This window comes from Homo sapiens, chromosome 8, assembly GCF_000001405.40.
Source record: "Homo sapiens chromosome 8, GRCh38.p14 Primary Assembly".
Taxonomy (NCBI): Eukaryota; Metazoa; Chordata; class Mammalia; order Primates; family Hominidae; genus Homo; species Homo sapiens.
Genome location: NC_000008.11, coordinates 73,707,425 through 73,722,785, shown reverse-complemented (window position 1 = coordinate 73,722,785; position 15,361 = coordinate 73,707,425). Strand labels below are relative to the sequence as shown.

The 15,361-nt window shown below is 35.9% G+C and overlaps 1 protein-coding gene across 7 annotated transcripts in view; it reads left to right on the top strand.

The window, feature by feature from the left end:
* The window catches only part of STAU2 (staufen double-stranded RNA binding protein 2), a 327,112-nt gene that overhangs the window by 24,695 nt on the left and 287,056 nt on the right, over positions 1-15,361 (top strand). Inside the window, exon 4 of one of the 7 annotated variants that reach the window (NM_001164380.2) lies at positions 13,624-13,754. The exons of the other annotated variants lie outside the window; for them this stretch is intronic. Within the exon in view, the coding sequence (NP_001157852.1) occupies positions 13,641-13,754 (114 nt within the window). The 5' untranslated portion in view covers positions 13,624-13,640. The remainder of the gene's footprint in view (positions 1-13,623; positions 13,755-15,361) is intronic. 7 annotated transcript variants of the gene reach the window in all.

Sequence of the window (15,361 nt, the reverse complement as noted above, 5' to 3'; positions counted from 1 at the left end):
ACTTGAAGTTGCAGCTTCCAAGGACCTATTGATGATGTTAAGTGAGGACTTACTGTACATTATAATCAAATTGTTGAAAGCAAATGATAAAGAGAAAATCTGAAAAGCAGTCAGAGAAAGAGATATGGTCATTTTGTGTGTAGAGGAAGAAAGATAAAGATGATTATCTTAATAGATTTATCAGAAACGATATAAGCAAGCAAACTGGGGAAGCATCTTTAAAGTACTGAAAGATGAAAAATGTCAATCTATAATTCTGTATCTGACAAAAATATGTTTCTAAAATAAAGATGAGATAAAGATGTTTACAACACAGAAGCAGAAAGAATTTATTGCTAACATTTCCCCTCTGGAAGAAAATTTAAAAGCAATTCTTCAGACAGCAGGAAAATGATACCAGATGCAAATATGGAGTTACATGAAAGAAAGAACACTAGAAATGGTAACTACTTGGGTAAATACATGAGATTTTTTTTCTTATCAGTTAAATCTCCTTAAAAGATAAGTGACTGCTTAAAGCAAAAATATTAACAAGCTGTTGTGGGGTTTATAACTTATCTAAAAGTAAAATGCATGATAACAATAGCTAAAAGGCAGGGAGGGAGAAATGGAGGTATACTGTTATAAGATTCTTTTGCTCTGTGTGAGGTGATAATATCACTGGAAGATAGACTGTGGTAAGTTAAAAATGTATACTGTAAACTCTAGCCCCTAAAATAGCAAAATAGAGAGTTACAACTAATAAGCCAATAAAAAGGAGATAAAATGGAGTCACACAAAATAATTCAACAGAAGTCCAAAAAGAAGAAAAAAGGAACAAACACCAAATGGGAAAAATATAAAATAAATAGCAAGATGATAGAATCAAACCTAACCATATGAATAGTCACACTAAATGTAAATTGTCTAAACACTCCAGTTTAAAGGCTGAATTTGTCAGATTGGATATAAAAGCAAGATCCAACTATATGCTTGCCTACAAGAAATAGTTTGTAAACAAACAGGTTAAAAGTGAAAGAATGGGAAAAGATATAATATGGTAACCTAGTCAAAAGCAACTTGGAGTGGCTATATTAATATTAAAGTATATTTGAGAGCAAGGAATATTTCCAGGGATAAAGAAGGTCATTTCATTTATAATGGTAAAGAGGTCAGTTAAGAGGACATAATGATGTTACATGTTTATGCACCTAATAACAGAGCTTCAAAACACATGAAACAAAACCTGATAGAAATGCAAGGAGAAATTGAGAAATCCAGTCATAATTGGAGATTTTAGTAACCCCTGTCAATAATTGATAGAAGTGGACAGAAAATCATCAAAGATATAGTAGACTTGAGTAACTGTTAAGCAACTTGACCTAATTGCATTTATAGAACACTCTACCTAAAAAGAGTAGAATACGTATTTGTTCACAAGTTTATCCAAAACATTTGCAACGATAAACTGTATTTTGGGCCATAAAGGACTTTTTTTTTTTTTTTTTTTTTTTTTTTTGGAGGTGGGGTTTTGCTTTGTTCACGCTGTAGTGAAGTGGTACCACCATGGCTGACTGCAGCCTTGACCTCCTGGGCTCAAACAATCCTCCCATTTCTGCTCCCCGAGTATCTAGGACTATAAATGTGTGCCGCCACACCCAGCTAATATTCTTTTTTTTTTTTTTTTTTTGTAGTGTTGGGATCTTACTGTGTTGCCCAGGTTGGTCTAGAACTCCTGGGTTCAGGTGATCCTCCTGCCTCTGCCTCCCAAACTCCTAGGATTGCATGCGTGAGCCATGGTGCCTGGCCATGAAACAAGTCTTAAATGAATTCAAAAGGATTCAAGTCATTAAAAAATTGTATCTGATTACAGTGGAATTAGGAATCATTAACAGAAAGATTCTTGGGAAATCTCTAAATATTTGGAAATTAAAAAATATAAGTAATCTATGGTTTAAAAAGAAGGAAAGGTAAATTAGAAAGTATTTTAAACTAGGCCGGGCGCGGTGGCTCACGCCTGTAATCCCAGCACTTTGGGAGGCCGAGGCGGGTGGATCATGAGGTCAGGAGATCGAGACCATCCTGGTTAACAAGGTGAAACCCTGTCTCTACTAAAAATACAAAAAATTAGCCGGGCGCGGTGGCGGGCGCCTGTAGTCCCAGCTACTCGGGAGGCTGAGGCAGGAGAATGGCGTGAACCCGGGAAGCGGAGCTTGCAGTGAGCCGAGATTGCGCCACTGCAGTCCGCAGTCCGGCCTGGGCGACAGAGCGAGACTCCGTCTCAAAAAAAAAAAAAAAAAAAAAAAAGAAAGTATTTTAAACTAAATGACAACAGCAATACAACATTAGGAGATATTGCTAAAACAGTATTTAGGGAGAAATTTATAGCTCCAAATGTATATATTTTGAAAGAAGAATGAACTCAAATAGCTCAAATATTTGACTTCAGCTTCCATCTTAAAAGACTAGAAAAAGAAGAACAAATTAATCCCAAAGGAAGAAGAAGAAAATGGATAACCTGAATAGCTTTTTTTTTGAGACAGGGTCTCACTCTGTCGCCCAGGCTGGAGAGCAGTGGTCCGATGATAGCTCACTGTGGCCTTGACCTCAAGTGATCTTCCCACTTCAGCCTCCTAGCTGGGACTTCAGGCACATGCTACCATGCCTGGCTAATTTTTTTATTTTTAATGTTTGTAGAGATAAGGTTTCACCATGTTGTACTGACTGGTCTCCAACTCCTGGGCTCAAGTGATCCTCTTGCTTTGGCCTGAAGTGGTAGGGTTACAGACATGAGCTATCATGCCTAGCCCTGAGTAGCTTTTTATATGCTAAAGAAATAAAAATTGTAGTAAAAGTCTACTTAAAAAGAAAACTCTAGGTCCGGATAGTTTCACTGGTGAATTATACAAGTTAAGGAAAAAATAATATCAATTTTATATGCTTTTAAAAATATTGAAGTGGAAGGAATTTTTTACAAGGCTCATGATGCCAGCATTACTGGGATACCAGAATCAGACAAATACATTTTAAGGAAATTACAGACCAGTATGTCTCATAAATATAATTGCAAAAATCTAAACAAAGTTTCAGCAAATCTAATTCAACAGTTTATTAAAAGGATAATATGTCATAACCATGTGGGGTTTATCCCAGGAATGTGGGGTTGGTTTAGTGTTCCAAAAAATCAGTAGTGTAATTTAACATATTAATGAACTAAAAAGCAAAAATCACATGATCATCTCAATAGATGCAGAAAAATCATTTGATAAAATCTAATATTCAGTATCATAAAGACTCTCAGCAAACTAGAAGTGGAAGTGAACTTTCCCAGCCTGCTAATGTGCTTCTATGAAAAACCTTATTAGCTGACCTTGTACTTATTGGTGAAAAACTGGACACCTTTTTTTTTGAGACAGTCTCGCTCTGTTGCCCAGGCTGAAGTGGCACGATCTCGGCTCACTGAAAGCTCCCCCTTGTGAGTTCGTGCCATTCTCCTGCCTCAGCCTCTGTAGTAGCTGGGACTACAGACACCCGCCACTATGTCTGGCTAATTTTTTTGTATTTTTTAGTAGAGACGGGGTTTCACCAGGTTGGCCAAGATGGTCTCGATCTCCTGACCTTGTGATCCACCTGCCTCGGCCTCCCAAAGTGCTGGGATTACAGGCGTGAGCCACCACACCTGGCCAAAACTGGACACTTATTTTAAAAAAAGAAGACGGGATGTCCACTTTAACCAGTTCCGTTTGACGTTGCCGTGGAGGTTCTAGCCCATGCCATCATGCAAGAGAAGGAAATGCATGGTGTTCAGATTGGAAAGAAATGAATAAAACTGTCCTTATTCACAGATGACCTGATTGTCTATGTAGAAAATCTGATGGAATCCTACTAGAACTAATAAATTACTATAGCAGAGTTGCAGGATAGAAGAGCAGTATGCAAAAACCAATTGTGTTTCTATACATTAGCAGAGAACAATCATAAATGAAAATAAAAGAGTAGCATTTTCAAAAGCATCAAAAATATGAACTACTTAGAGATAAGTCTAACAAAATATGTTAAAGAAAATGAGAACTACAAAATACTGCTGCAAGAAATTAAAGGATACCTGAATAAGATACAGTTGATTCTCATTATTCATGGATTCTTTACCTAGGAATTGGCTTACTCACTAATTTTTATTTGTAACCCCAAAACCAATACTTGCAGTGCTTTTGTGGTCATTCTCAGACACTTGCAGGGGCAAAACATTTTGAATCACCCAGTGCACATGTATATACCCAGCTGGGATCAAACAAGACAATGCTCTGCTTTCTTATTTTGGGTTTCATACTGTAAGCAAGTAGCCCTTTCTTGGTTTATTTAGTGCTGCATTTTTTGCATGTTTGTGCTTTTTGTTGGTTATTTTGATGTTTACAAAGATGGTTATTTTGATGTTTAAAATGTTTAAAGTGTAATGTTTAAGTGCCATATAGTGTTTCTAAGTACCAGGAGGCTCTGATATGCCTTACGGAGAATATATGTGCATTAGATAAGCTTTATTCAGGCAGGAGTTAAACAGTACTATTGGACATGAGTTCAATGTTAATGAATCAGTAACATATATTAGTAATACATACTAAACAAGAAGTCTCTAAACAGAAACACATAAAACATGACATATGATCAGTTCACAAAAATGTCAGCAGAAGCTTGCAAGAACCTAATACGTTAGTTCCCCTGGGAGCAATGGCTCTATAATTGCTGATTCACATAACAGTCATTGACATATTATTATCTCAATAATGAGAAGTGACTGTGTATCCTTTTCATGGGTTGGAATACTCAACTTTGTTAAAATGTTGATTTTCACCAAATTATAGATTTAAGAGACTTATATTTCAATCTTTGCAGGCTTTTTTATAGAACTGCACAGGGTGATTCTAAAATTCATGTGGAAATTTAAAGAACTTTAAACAACTGTGAAAAAGAACAGTGTGGGAGCCAACACTACCTGATTTCAAGAATTAAAAGCTGTAAAATAGTTTGGCGTAAAAATAGGTAAATAGGCGGCAGAATCGCTTGAACCCAGGAGGTGGAGGTTGCAGTGAGCTGAGATCGCGCCACTGCACTCCAGCCTGGGCGACAGAGCGAGACTCCGTCTCAAAACAACAACAACAACAACAACAACAACAACAACAACAACAAAAGACAAATAGATCAGTGGAAACAGAATTGGTAGTCCAGAAATAAACTCCTTATATGTAGATAACTAATAATTTTGACAAAGACATAAAGGCAATGTAGTGGGAGAAATGTAGCCTTTTCCACAGTTGGAAACAATTGGATATTGATATACAAAAAATGGATTCATACCTTGCGCTGTATAGGAAAACTAACTCAAAATGGCTTCTGGACTTAAATGTAAAACCTAAAACTATAATGTTCGTGGAAGAAAACAGGAGAAAAAAATTTTTAGACCTCAGTTAGGTAATAATTTTTTAGATATACATTAAAAGTACAAACTATAAAAATTGATAAATTAGACTATTAAAATCTGCTCTTTAAAAGACACTGGTAAGAGAATAAAGAGAAAAGCCACAGTTTGGGAAAAAAATTTTTATTTTTTTCGTAGTGATTCCTCTTTATTATTTTCTAAGATGACTGTCCATTTGCTCCAACTTTGTTAGCAATTCATCTTTTTCCTACTACTTTATTTATTTTTTTTGGAGACAGAGTCTTGCTCTGTTCCCCAGGCTGGAGTGCAGTGGTACCTTCTTGGCTCACTGCAGCCCCTCACCTCTTGGGCTCAAGTGATTCTTGTGCCTCAGCCTCCTGAGTAGGTGGGATCACAGGCGCACACTACCGTGCCCAGCTACTTTTTGTATTTTTAATAGAGGCGGGGTACCATGTTGCCCAGACTGGTTTTGAACTCCTGACCTAAAACGATCCACCTGCCTTGGCCTCCCAAAGTACTGGGATTACAGGCGTGAGCCACCGCGCCTGGCCTAGAAGAAAATCTTTACCAAGCATATGTCTAATCAGTAACTTGTATGTAGGATGTGTAAAGAACTCTTCAAATTCAGCAATAAGAAAAAAAAATCAAAAGTAAAATATTCAGACACTTCACCACAGGAGATACAGATGACATATAAGCAAATGAAAAAAGTTAATTAACAGTATTCATTAGGGAGATGCAAATTAAAATCACGAGGTATCATTATACACATATTTAGAATGACTGAAGTTAAGAAGACTGACCAAACTAAATACTGGTAAGGACACACTGTGTTTTTGTCCTGTTTAAATCTCTAGATAGCTTCACTGGAAAAGTTGGAGATGGAGGCACAACATGGCCTGCTTTAAATCAGATCCTTGAGCATTATTTTTCTGTTTTTCAGGACCATGGTGGCACTGTCAAGACTAGAAAGAACTTACTCTGGCCGGGCGCAGTGGCTCACGCCTGTAATCCCAGCACTTTGGGAGGCCGAGGCGGGTGGATCACCTGGGGTCAGGAGTTCGAGACTGGCCTGTCCAACATGGAGAAACCCCGTCTCTACTAAAAATACAAAAAATTAGCTGGGCGTGGTGGCGGGCGCCTGTAGTCCCAGCTACTTGGGAGGCTGAGGCAGGAGAATGGCGTGAACCCGGGAGGCGGAGCTTGCAGTGAGCCAAGATCACACCACTGCACTCCAGCCTGGGTGACAGAGCGAGACTCTTGTCTCAAAAAAAAAAAAAAGAAAAAAAAATTAGCTGGGCATGGTGGCGCATGCCTGTAATCCCAGCTACTCAGGAGGCTGAGGCAGAAGAATCGCTTGAGCTTGGGAGGCGGAGCTTGCAGTGAGCCGAGATTGCGCCACTGCACTGTAGCCTGGGTGACAGAGTGAGACTCCGTCTCAAAAAAAAAAGAAGATAAATATACGATCACACAGTAAGCTGCTGTAACTTTTGTCATTCACCAGTTTGCAAAGTTTTCCCATGTTGATTCATAAGCTCTGTACCTCTTTCTCTTTTCAAAGCTGCATGATTCATGTAGTTTAACCAATTTTTGGTAAATAATAATATTTATCTCATTTATAGTTTTTGCTATTATAGTCTTGTTTTCCAGATTATCATTGCAAATGTCTTCCTGTAGTATGAATCCTCAGATTAATAATTGCTGTTTTAAAGATAGGTACAATTGAAACTTTAATCAATGTTGCCCATCAGAAATTTTGTACTAATTTGTATTTGCACCAACAGAATTCTCACCCATTTTCCCCACATACTTGTTAATACTTAAATGATTATTAAAAAAAATCTTTATCAGTCTAATAGGGGAAAATTATATATCACTGGAATTTGAATTTTTCTTTCTTTCTTTCTTTTTTTTTTTTTTTGACAGTCTCACTCTGTTGCCCAGGCTAGAGTGTAGTGGTGCCATCTCGGTTCACTGCAACTTCCACCTCCCAGGTTCAAGCGATTCTGGTGCCTCAGCCTCCCGAATAGCTCGGACTACAGGCATGTGCCACCATGCCTGGCTGATTTTTGTATTTTTAATAGAGACAGGGTTTCACCATGTTGGCCAGGCTTTCACCATGTTGGCCAGGCTCTTTAACATTCTTTTGAACAGGTATATTTACTCAAGAAATTATGTGAATTGTGTGTAACTTTGCCCTTTTTTCCTATTGGCTTTAAAAAAATTGATTTATAGTATCTTTTTATTTTATGAATGTTAACAGTTTGTCTTCACTTTTTTTTTTTTTTTTGAGACGGAGTCTCGCTCTGTTGCTTAGGGTGGAGTGCAGTGGTGCGATCTTGGTTCCACTTGCAACCACCACCTCCCGGGTTCAAGTGATTCTCTCGCCTCAGCCTCCTGAGTAGCTGGGATTACAGGCACCCGCCATCATGCCTGGCTAATTTGTATATTTTTGTAGAGACGGGGTTTCACCATGTTGGCCAGGCTGGTCTGGAACTCCTGACCTCAGGTGATCTGCCCGCCTTGACCTCCCAAAGTGCTGGGATTCCAGACGTGAGCCACCACGCCTGGCCTTTCTTCACATATTGCAAGTATTTCTTCTGTATACAAAAAGTAACTCAAAATGGCTTAGACTTTAGTGTCATATGTGGTATGTTTTGCTTTAGAGAAGTTTTATTATTTTTATGTTGTTAACTATCAGTTTTTGCCTTTATGGCTTCTAGGTTCCTTTTCATATCTAGGAAGGCCTTCTGTGTTACAGGAGTATGACAGATATTTAGCTAATTTCCGTTAGTTTTTGTGAAATTTTTGTATTTTGCATTTTAATATTTCTGAAATTTATCTTTGTGTTTATGTGAGAGAGGAACTTAAATTTTTTCCTAATGGACAGACTGTTAAAAATGGAGCAGTTTGATGCCTGGGTAGTTTGTCGATAATTTTGCTTGGACAGCCTTATGTTAGGGTCTAATTTGAAAATAGAGGGTTTGTTTTAGTTAATAGCTGGGGACATATCTGTCAGATTGCTCCTAGAAGGCAAGAGCCCATGAAAGGGTCCTTTGCTCTTTTGACTTTTTTCTTTCTTATTTTACTTGGGAATTAGGATGAGTTCCCTCCAATAGCAGAGAATAGAGAAAGGGGAACCAGTAAAGAGACATAGAAACTGTGTTTAAGGCCGGGCGTGGTGGCTCACGCCTGTAATCCCACCACTTCGGGAGGCTGAGGTGGGCGGATCACCTGAGGTCGGGAGTTCGAGACCAGCGTGACCAATATGGAGAAACCCCGTCTCTACTAAAAAAACAAAATTAGCTGGGCGTGGTGGTGCATGCCTGTAATTCCAGCTACTCGGGAGGCTGAGGCAGGAGAATCACCTGAATCCAGGAGGTGGAGGTTGCAGTGAGCCGAGATCGCGCCCTTGCACTACAGCCTGGGCAACAAGAGTGAAACTCTGTCTCAAAAAAAAAAGGAAAGAAACCGTGTTTAAGTCATTTCTGGGACCAAGGATGGAAAGGATTCTTTGGAATGATTTGCCTTGCGAAGCGAGGTAGTCTGTGACCTTAGTAGCAACAGTTCTGGCTGGAATATAGCTACTTTAAAAAATGCTACTTTAAGTTCTGGTTTAGGAAACTTTTGGTGTTCTAGTGAATTCTGGTCACATAGTTTTATTCTGCTGTTTTTTCTCATGCGTTCTGTATTCTGCCAGTTTTCTGCTTGCATTTGCCAGAAAGTTATGTTGTTTTATGTGCTTTCTCCTGTGTCTATACTCCTTGAAAAGCTTGGACTGTCTCTCACGTTCCCTTGTTACCTAAGTGAATTTTTGCTTTCCTTATCTAATCACCACCTCTTAAAACTTGCCTTTCCATACACCCTTTGTCTAAGGAGTTTTTGTAACAGCCTTATTATAGTACTTATATTGTGATTTATTGTGTTTGTCTATTGTCTGTGTCTGTTTCTTCTATCAGACTGTGAACTCCTTTGGGGACAGATCATTTTGCCTGTGAGCTACATTATTTTGTAGCTTGTTCAGTGACTTGAACACAGTTGCTGTGTTTCTTCACTGGTTCCTACACATACAAATGAACAGGCAAAATGAAGATTCAAATTCCAGAGTCCAGGACATTTTGTGAAGACATAAAAATAGAGTGAATCTAAAAATAGAGTATATTTATGTTTTTGTTGGATATGCAAATACTGTTATTATAAATATGTATTTTACCAGTGTTTCTTATCAAAGTTGTAAGTTATATCTAACCAAGTTTCGTATCAGTGAAGGTAGAATATTTCCTAGCACATGTAAACCTTTAATATAATTTATATCATATTTGAGAATTTTTCAGTGGAAACGAACTTATGGGTTTATAAGTCAGTGGAAAAAATAATAACAAATACATGCTTTTCACAGACTACTACAGAAATATACTTGTTTTTTGTTTTGTTTTGTTTTGAGAGAGGATCTCACTCTGTCACCCAGGCTGGATTGCAGTCTGGAACTCCTGGGCTCAAGCAATCCTTCTATCTCAGCCTTCTGAGTGTCAAGGAGTACAGGCATGTGCCATGACATATGGCTAATATTTTTATTTTTTTGTAGAGATGAGGTCTCGCTATGTTGTCCAGGCTGTTCTCAAACCCCTGGCCTTAAGCGATCCTCCCGCCTCTGCCTCCCAATGTACTGGGATTACAGATGTGAGCCACTATGCCCAGCCAAGAAGTATATTTGTATGAGTAAAATCAATTTATCGTAACAGAATATTTTGGCTAAGAATATTTTTACTTAGTTTTATAAACTTTTTTCATGACTTTTTATGTCACTGTTTTAATATTTGATGATAGTGTAATTGTTTTAACAAATGTTTAAATCAGAATAATAATGAATTTTTAATCATTGTTAACAGTGTTTGGTATTATCTCATTCAATCCATGCAATTATCTAGTGAGATAAGAACAACTATTATCTCTATTTTACTTTGTGGGAAAGTGAGATTTAAGTACTTTCTCAAGGTCACACAGATATTAGTAAGTGACAGAGATATCCAAAACAGGCTCTTAACCATCATGTGGCAGTTGTTCTTTCAAAGTGGCAGAGTCTGAGATTGTGAATCCATTTTTATTAATTTTATTTACTTCTAAGTAGGTCTCTACTATTCCAGCCACCAAATGGACTTGAAGACTATTTCAAACTATCTTCAGTGATAACATCTATAGGTCTTTGAAAATGCATACCTGTGTAACATTATGTGCATTTCTCACTTTTTTGCACTATTGACTTCTCTAAAAAAGATTTATATAACTTTTTTATGTGTCTCAGATTTTATAGACCAGTTTGTTTTTATAGATGCTCTATCTAAATTTTGGTGTAATTTAAAAGTTATTGCTGTATTACTGAGCTCTCTGTCAAGTAAGAATCCTATTAAGATTTCTCATTAAATAAAGGAACAACTATTTGTTTTAATCCCTTTTTAAAATAAAACAACTATGACTAATTATTTCCTAAGTTATCAACTTTAAACATTTTGATTTTAATTTTGAAGCTTTATCAAAGTGGGATCTTGGACCCTTCTCACACTAAAACTTCAGTCACCCATTAAAATGTGTTATTGGATTCATGTTAACTTTTATGAAGCAGGAAGTCAGAATTAATGGAATATAAGTTTTATACCATGTTATTTGTTAACATTTTCCTTTAGAGGATTTAGATTAGGTTTTCATACCAAACGGGTTCATTATAAATGAACCATTTAAATCGCTGTTTAATATGTGTAGAACCTATGCTATTAGCAATTTTCATAGTATAAAATTTTCACACTATGTTTGTATGCTTCTAATATGTTTTGCATTGTAACAGATGAATATGCAGCATTACTGAATTATGAAAATTACACAGTGGTGGTATAAATGCTATTTGTGTTATGCAAAATTGGCTGATTTTTATCAGACTTTAATATTTTCTCATTTTAACCAATTATTCTGCTTTTGCTTTTTGATATTAAATTGGCTGTGCTGTCTGTTGCACTTGAATTCATGCAATGGTATGCAAAGGCCAAAACTGATTATCGTCTCAGGTTACCTTGTATTTTCTTATAACGACTGACTTTCCAAATTGAACAGGATGTTTTATAAAATTTGTGTGACATGCAATGGAATAGGTAAAATGCAGGTTTTCTCAAAACTGTCTTGACTTTTGTCTTTTTTGTACTTTTCCCAAAAGTAATAATTACTAGTTTTTTTTTTTTTTTTTTTTTTTTTTGCAAGCCACTTACAATGGCTTAATTGTAGAATCTACTGTCAGCTGTCTTGGCCCTACAATTGGTTGCTTAGATTCCTTCTTTTTACTTAGGTCTTACCAGGTGCTTACGTAGTTTTCTTATAAAATAGTTTCTTAATCATAATTATCACAATCAAGCCATTGTACAAATTATTGGGCCTGTTAAGAGTATTAGAAATGTAAAAGAATATTATTTTTAATATTAAACTTTGGCCTAGGAAGTTTGTAGATGAAGTTCCTAAAGCCAGCCATTTTCATTCATTTTAAGTATTCTTGTGGCTACAATTGAACTGTATTTATTGTGACTATAGTTTAAATGAGCAGGAAGTAATCCACTTGCATGTTTTATGCTTAGATTTTAAAATATATTTTGGCATTTTTTATGGGAAGTGAAAGAAAAAAGTAATTAAATGTGTCTATAAATGAGAGAAAGGAAAAATATAGGTTAAAATAATGTGGTATTAGAAAAATATTCTGAAGCTATAATAGTACCTTGTATTTGCGATATAGTTTAGAAAACCATATCATACATTTACAACTCTTAATCTCACAACAACTTTGGGACTTAAGCGGGATAGATTTATTTCTCTCATTTTATAGAAAGAATAGAAGGCTTAGTGAGTTTAAGTAAAATCATTGAGATCTTGACAGTTAGAGAGGACTTCCTAAACAAGACGTAAAAAGCACAGACCATAAAAGGAAAAGTTGGTAACTATAATACAAAAAAAAAAAAAAAAGGATAGAAGCCTGTAATTCAGCTACTTGGGAGGCTGAGTAGGGAAAATAGCTTGAACCCAGGGTTAGAGTCCAGCCTGGGCAACATAGTGAGACTGTCTCTGAACAAGAAAAAACCCAAACAAACATAAAATAGTAGTGGAGAAAAATATGCAAAGAACAATAATGGGATACTGTTTGTCAAATATCAAATTATCAGAAATTAAAATATTTGATTATATTCCATGTTTTTGAGCTTGAGGAGAAACGGTAGGGGAAGGTAATTTGGTACAGTCATTTTGAGAGCTATTTGACAGCATGCTCTCTTTAAGAGTGAAGAATTGGAAACAACCCAGTGTCTCAGTAGAGGAGTGGATAAAAAAACTGGTGCAATATTGTAAAAGAAATTCTATGGTAGTTAAAATTAATGTGCTAGATTTATATAAGTAAAAGTCTTGAGAACACAATGAAGAGTGAAGAAAGTAAACTGTGAGAATGTTTATTATAATGCTATAATACCATTTATGTGAGTCTAGAACCACATACATCAATACTCTGTAAAAGATAATAAGGAACTTAACAGGAATGGAATACCACTTATTTTTTTTTTAATAAGAGTTAAACATGGAACATGGTTAATAAGCACTGGGTGTTAGGTACATGGGCACTTGTTAAATTATTCTTTTTACAACTTTGAAAATTTATTTAAAAAAACAGAAAGGGGAGTTAATTTGTTTAGAGTTACCGAAAAATTGTAGTTGGAAGAGCTAGTACTTAAACTTAGGACCTGATTCCCAAGACTAGAGCTTTTTCTAACACACTGCCTCATAATGAGAAGGAAAAAAATTGAGATGAAACGATCAAGAAGGTAGACAAAATTTAGTTTCATAGTAATAAGAACCAGGAAACGTATGTGTTTCTAGTAAATTTTTTGAGGGGAAAGGAAAGTTTTTAAGATAAAAAATTATTATAATTTTACTTTAAAATCTTTAAGCATGCTGTTATATACATAGAACAACTTAGGTACTTAGGAAAAATTTTACCTTAATTTATTGTTTAAAATGTGATACATATTTCTGTTGCATGTAATGGAAGACATTAGGTAATTTGAATTTTTAAAATACAAAATTCATGAAAATAATTTAAATATACAATCTACCTTCAAAGTCAAAACTAGTTTTTCTTCCATTTTGTAAAGTCATTCTTCACAAAAACTTTATAGCCTTTTTATTTACAGCTTCTCTCCAAGATAAAATGGCAAACCCAAAAGAGAAAACTGCAATGTGTCTGGTAAATGAGTTAGCCCGTTTCAATAGAGTCCAACCCCAGTATAAACTTCTGAATGAAAGAGGGCCTGCTCATTCAAAGGTAAGGTTATGAAGAGAGGTGGTGAGACATACTTATCAGACTAACAGATTTATCATCTCAGATTTTAATCGTGCTTTATTTTGGGGAGTGGGGGTTCAGCAGATGGCTTGAAGGCTTTTAGTTCTACATTAATAATATTTCAAAGTATGTAACTAAACTATTTTGTAGCTCACTGTGGTTTACAAAGCTCTTTTAGATATAGTACTTCATATAAATCTTAATAAAACCACATGATATATGGATTTTTGATTTCCATTTTGTAATTTAAACTCAGGCACAGGAAAGTTAAGTGACTTGCTTAATAGTTCATAAGTGCCAGTGCCAGTACTTGAATATATTTTCTTTGGCTCCCAAATATGGTGTGCTTTCCATTAAATCACAGCTGCTAAAGTAGAAATGGAGACAGAGTAAATATACCAACAGTTACCTAGTGAGACATCTTTTCCAATGTGATATTTAATTCTAACATTAATCATTTATAAAAGTTGTATATACCACTGTTCTTATTATCTCTGCATTCACTTATATTGTTTTTTTAAATGGAAAGCAATTTTTATTTATATATAGCTGTATACATTTATGTTTGCATATATACATGTTACAAATCTACAACTAATGCATTTATGTTTGAGCTCTATTCAGTTGCTTACAATATCTTAGTTGTGCATAATTTTCTATGGCACATTTATATCTTGGCTATTGGAGATTATCATAATGATCATAAAATTTGTATATAATGTGGCAGCATTTGTTCTCTAAGGGTTGATTAATCTTCTTAAAGCAACTGGCTATTAGGTTATTTGCATCCTGGCATCTCCTACAAACTAAGGAAAATAAGAGGAAACTACAATTTGTCAATTTTGTTTTCTATTAATGGTTTTTATGAAGGATTTAGGGGCAACAATTTAATTTGTTCATATCTTTTGTTCTTGCTTTAACAGAAAAAATAGTTGTAGCCTTGGTCTACCTTTCCAGCTATATGTCCTGACTCTCTTTCTGACTCATTCTGCCCTTAATCATGTTGAACTGTTTGCATTTCTCAGAACGCTTTATGTTCTTTTCACATCTCTCTGCCTTTGCCTAAGTTGTAGTGTCTTTCTGCCTTGAAGGTGCTTTTGCCCTTACTCATTGTTGAGCACTCAGCTCCATGTTACATCTTCCACACGTTTGTGAAACCTCTGATTCCTCTACTGGGCCTCCAGTGGGACCTATAGTTCTCTGTGGTAGCCGTTACTGTGTTATAGTACAGTAATATATGTTGGTCATTAGTTTTGTGCTAGACTGAGCTTGTTTTTGGGTGTGTATTTTACTCGTTTACATTTCTTGGTCCCTGTAGTATATACTCTTTGCTCCTCATTGCCAATTCCAGGTATTCTTCCTTGAGACAGTCCCCCAGTTTTGAGTTTCATATTAGCAGACACACTTCCCACATTCCCTCATGATTGTCATTTACATCTGGGTGATTCCATCACATTTCTTATGGCTCACTTTCACTCTCTTTAGCATTCCCCATTTTAATTTTTGGTGATTTCAACACTTAAATAGATGATTGTTCCAGCATGTTGACCTTTTAGTTTCTTTAACATCTCCGGTGATCTTGTTCTCTA